This window comes from Homo sapiens, chromosome 10 (genome assembly GCF_000001405.40).
Source record: "Homo sapiens chromosome 10, GRCh38.p14 Primary Assembly".
In the NCBI taxonomy this organism is placed as follows: domain Eukaryota; kingdom Metazoa; phylum Chordata; class Mammalia; order Primates; family Hominidae; genus Homo; species Homo sapiens.
In genome coordinates, this window is record NC_000010.11 from 26,892,958 (window position 1) to 26,897,896 (window position 4,939).

General features: G+C 42.4%; 2 annotated features.

Annotated features, from left to right (window-relative positions):
• Nucleotides 1,011-1,626: an enhancer, noted in NCBI's record as "OCT4-NANOG-H3K27ac hESC enhancer chr10:27182897-27183512 (GRCh37/hg19 assembly coordinates)". NCBI's record gives its function as "activates a minimal SCP1, AML or CMV promoter by ChIP-STARR-seq in naive H9 embryonic stem cells {active_cell/tissue: H9 hESC(naive)}" and the evidence as "EXISTENCE:reporter gene assay evidence [ECO:0000049][PMID:30033119]".
• Nucleotides 1,627-2,242: an enhancer, noted in NCBI's record as "H3K27ac hESC enhancer chr10:27183513-27184128 (GRCh37/hg19 assembly coordinates)". NCBI's record gives its function as "activates a minimal SCP1, AML or CMV promoter by ChIP-STARR-seq in naive H9 embryonic stem cells {active_cell/tissue: H9 hESC(naive)}" and the evidence as "EXISTENCE:reporter gene assay evidence [ECO:0000049][PMID:30033119]".

Genomic DNA, 4,939 nt, shown 5'->3' on the forward strand with positions numbered 1-4,939 from the left:
ATTTGTGTGACTAGTAGTGCATGTAGCGACTCTTGTGTAGTCTTTGGCATGAATAATCATGTTGTTTGATCCCTTTTCCTCCTAGAAATAGTCTCTCACTCTCTGTTTGTCTCTCTGGGTTGTACTGTCACAAAGAAGGGCACCTCAGAATAGAACAGGGGTCCAGAACCCCTAGAAACACGATTTCGAGCCACCTCTGAAGACTGGTCAGATTTATGGCTCTGATCAGACTGGTGTCTATTCAGGCAAACTTTACTATTTGTTCCCCAAATAAAACCACATGAAGTTCCCCTCTGATCTTGTTTCATGTCCTTGAGAGCTTGGCTTTTAACCAAGTGGGAGCACAGTTGGTCTCCACCATCTGAGAAGTGTGATGTTTGGGTCCCATCCAGTGGCCAGTCTAAAATTGGCTGGGGACCTCAGACGTGTAAGATTTTAGGCAGCACATTTTTTGTTCCAAATGTGTCAAGCTCTCAGGAGAGTTTGTCTTAAGAAGTTCTATCCCTATGGGGTGTGGGGAAAAGCAAGAGAGATCAGATTGTTACTGTGTCTGTGTAGAAAGAAGTAGACATAGGAGACTCCATTTTGTTATGTACTAAGAAAAATTCTTCTGCCTTGAGATTCTGTTAATCTATGACCTTACCCCCAACCCCGTGCTCTCTGAAACATGTGCTGTGTCAACTCAGAGTTGAATGGATTAAGGGCGGTGCAGGATGTGCTTTGTTAAACAGATGCTTGAAGGCAGCATGCTCCTTAAGAGTCATCACCACTCCCTAATCTCAAGTACCCAGGGACACAAAAACTGCGGAAGGCCGCAGGGACCTCTGCCTAGGAAAGCCAGGTATTGTCCAAGGTTTCTCCCCATGTGATAGTCTGAAATATGGCCTCGTGGGAAGGGAAAGACCTGACCGTCCCCCAGCCCGACACCCGTAAAGGGTCTGTGCTGAGGAGGATTAGTAAAAGAGGAAGGAATGCCTCTTGCAGTTGAGACAAGAGGAAGGCATCTGTCTCCTGCCTGTCCCTGGGCAATGGAATGTCTCGGTATAAAACCCGATTGTATGCTCCATCTACTGAGATAGGGAAAAACCGCCTTAGGGCTGGAGGTGGGACCTGCGGGCAGCGATACTGCTTTGTAAAGCATTGAGATGTTTATGTGTATGCATATCTAAAAGCACAGCACTTAATCCTTTACATTGTCTATGATGCAAAGACCTTTGTTCACGTGTTTGTCTGCTGACCCTCTCCCCACAATTGTCTTGTGACCCTGACACATCCCCCTCTTCGAGAAACACCCACGGATGATCAATAAATATTAAGGGAACTCAGAGGCTGGCGGGATCCTCCATATGCTGAACGCTGGTTCCCCGGGTCCCCTTCTTTCTTTCTCTATACTTTGTCTCTGTGTCTTTTTCTTTTCCAAATCTGTCGTCCCACCTTACGAGAAACACCCACAGGTGTGTAGGGGCAACCCACCCCTACAATGGGGCTTTTCTCATATGAACCCTTGTTGCCCGGTTAGTCCTGGGAAAGTACACTTTCAGGAGGGCCTCCCTGGTATCGCAGATTAAGGTGCCCGTGATTGGCAGTCCCCCTGTAATTTGTGGGTTACAGGAGGTACTGTATGCACAAACACCATCCTTAACCATCTGTGGCAACAAGAGCTCTTGCCGTCTTAAGCCTGTTTCTGAGAATAAATTTTTTGAGGCTCACTGGGGCTCTCTCATCTATGCTGTCTCCAGGAATACCTATTGCTTATATGGTTATATGTGGTGAAAGTTTTTCTAAACCTGTAAAATTGCCTTGTAGGCTTTTCATGAACAGGCTTGTTGGACTAAGTCACTATTGAAATAAGATCACCATTGGAAATTCTAATCATTAGTGGTTAGAAAACTGATCCTTCATGTCAGAAAGACTCCTAAATTTAGAAAAAGAGATCTCTTATTCTAAACAATTGCCTCATTTGTATTTATGGAAAGATTAACTTAAAATAAAGACTCATGGTGGTTTCATGGCTAGCCTTAGAAATTCTTTTGACAAAATTAAAGAATGAAAATCTGGCCCAAAGCAAAGTTTAAAGTTTTCATATGCTCAGAGTGCCTGCTGTGAATCTCCTGCAGAATTTGCAGTGCTGGCCACTGCACCTTGCAGCCTGGTTAAAATTCCATCCTTTCACTGCCGTAGCCTGGGTTTGAGTCCTGGTGGGGAATTAGTCACTTTGGTTGGATATTTATGTGATTTTTATCTTTTGGGGGACCATTTGTTATCCATCCTTTTCCCTCCAATGGACATATTTTTTTTTACTTTTATTTCAGGTTCAGTGTGTACATGTGCTGTTTTGCTACATGGGTGAATTATATGTCACTGGGGTTTGGTGTACAAATGATTTCATCACCCAGGTAGTGAGCATAGGTAGTTTTTTTAACCCTCACCATTCTCCTCCCCTCCCTTTTCAAGTGGGTCCCAGTGTCTATTGTTCCCATCTTTTTATTTCTGGTATTTTTTTGTCTGTGGGGGCACACAGAGATTTAGGGCCTTTGTGTGTAGATGGCCAGCTGAGAAGTTGACGCCCTAGAGGATACGGCTGAACAGATGTGAGTTGTATCCTATTTGCAGGTAGCAAAACTTTCCTTTCCTTGGGCTGTCTTTGGGGTGGTTCTGGATCTTGTGAGGACTGGTCTGCACCTCTTTGGAGATTCTGTGTGCAACCTCAATTAAGCCATAACCTTGGTTAAGGCTTACTGAAGTTGGTGAGTCACTTGAAGGAGTACCACTGGCTTAAAAAGGTTCAAAGCCAGGAATATTAGCTGCTTGCCCTGGCTAAAAAGACAGGCAGTAACAAATGCTGGCGAGGATGTGGAGGACAGGGAACCCTTGGACACTGTTTGTGGGAACGTAGTTTAATGCAACCACTGTGGAGAACAGTTTGGAGGTTCCTCAAAAAACAAAAAATTGATCTACCATAAGAATCAGCAATCCCACAGCTGGGTATACATCTAAAAGAAAGGAAGCCAGTATATCAAAAAGATATCTGCACTCCTATGTTTGTTGTAGGACTGTTTACAATAGCTAAGATTTAAAAACAACCTAAGTGTCCATCAGCAGATGAATGGATAAAAAAAAGTGGTACTTATACAAAACAGAGTACTATTCAGCCTTAAAAAGAGTGAGATCCTGTCATTTGCAGCAACATAGGTGGACCTGGAAATAATTAAGTGAAATAAGCCAGGCACAGAAAGACAAACATCACATATTCTCACTTAATTGTGAGATCTAAAAATCAAAACAACTGAACTCATGAACAGAGAGCACAGACGGATGGTTACCAGAGACTGGGAATGGTAGTGGAGAGCTTGGGAGGTGGGCATGGTGAATGGGTAAAAAAGAAGTTCAGAAAAATAAATAAGACTTACTATTTGATAGCACATCAGGGTGACTATAGTCAATAATAACTTAGTTGTACATTTTAAAATGACTTCAAGAATGTGACTGAATTGTTTGTAACCCAAAGGGTAAATGCTTGAGGGAATGGATACCCCGTTCTCCATGATGTGCTCATTTCACATTGCATATCATCAAACCATCTCATGAATCTTATATACACCTACTGTGTACCCACAAAAGTTAAAAACGAAAAATAATAAAAGAAAAATAGTCTAATCATAATTTGCAGACAACAGTTGTTTTCTGACACCACTAAATCACTGTCTCAACTAAATACAAAATATACACAAAGTAGGTATAAAGCTTATACGTATTTGCTATTTCTGCATACAACAAAATCAATCAATTAGCAACATCTTATACATTATTACAGGGATGGATGTATTTTAGAAATACCTCTGCTAATCCTAGAAATGTTCCAACTCTTGTAGAAAAGAGAGCAGCTATCAGATTAATTTTCAAATTATACTACAGAACCTTCAGAAAATAATTTTTTTTTTGAGATGGAGTCTCACACTGTCGCCCAGGCTGGAGTGCAACGGCATGACCTCAGCTCACTGCAACCTCCACCTCCTGGGTTCACACGATTCTCCAGCCTCAGCCTCCTGAGTAGCTTGGATTACAGGCACGCACCACCACATCCGGCTAACCTTTTGTATTTTTAGTAGAGACAGGGTTTCACTATGTTGGCCAGACTGGTCTCAAACTCCTGACTTCATGATCCGCCACCCTCGGCCTCCCAGATTGTTGGGCTTACAGGCGTGAGCCCCATGCCCAGTCAGAAAACAAATCTTATGGCTTCATACGTCAAAATTCAACAATGATGAACAGTGAGAATTACATAGAATTAATTTAGGAACACTTATGGATTGATTTATGGTCTTGGACATTCATTATTTTCCCACAAGTTAAGCTCATGACTCAGTAATTAATTTCCTTTTTCATGCATGGATTTGGCCCTGGTCAGTTCGTGACCCAGAATTTTTTTTTTTTTCCCAGGAAAGGGCACATATTCTGCCTATTGATCCACAGAAAATAGACTCTGCCCACAGATTGAAATATAAACTACTTGCCTGATTTCCTTCTGCTGTTGGGACAATGGGCTCAGGTTCATGTTCACAACAGCAAATGAGTGCAAAGAGGTCTGAGATATGGGCTTGTGATCCTGTGACTTTACCTCCCCAGAGAATTGCAATTGTCATCTCACCTGTAGATACAAGGACAGTACATATTTGATGAGTTAAAGTTTAAATAATGCTGTCTTAGTTTCCAATGACCAAAAAAATGACAACTTTCTACCAAGCACCTTCAAAGACATGAAAATGGGAGAGGCTCTGTTTTTCCATGATCTCTGGAGGCAGACAGGGGCTCACATGGAGAGAACAGGACATGCCGAGTCTGAGACATGAGATACTGACAGCAAAGCACATGTGTCTTACCAGATTCCGTGCTTCCCTGAGATCTGCCTCTGCTGAAAATCTGACTTGCAGTTAACCCC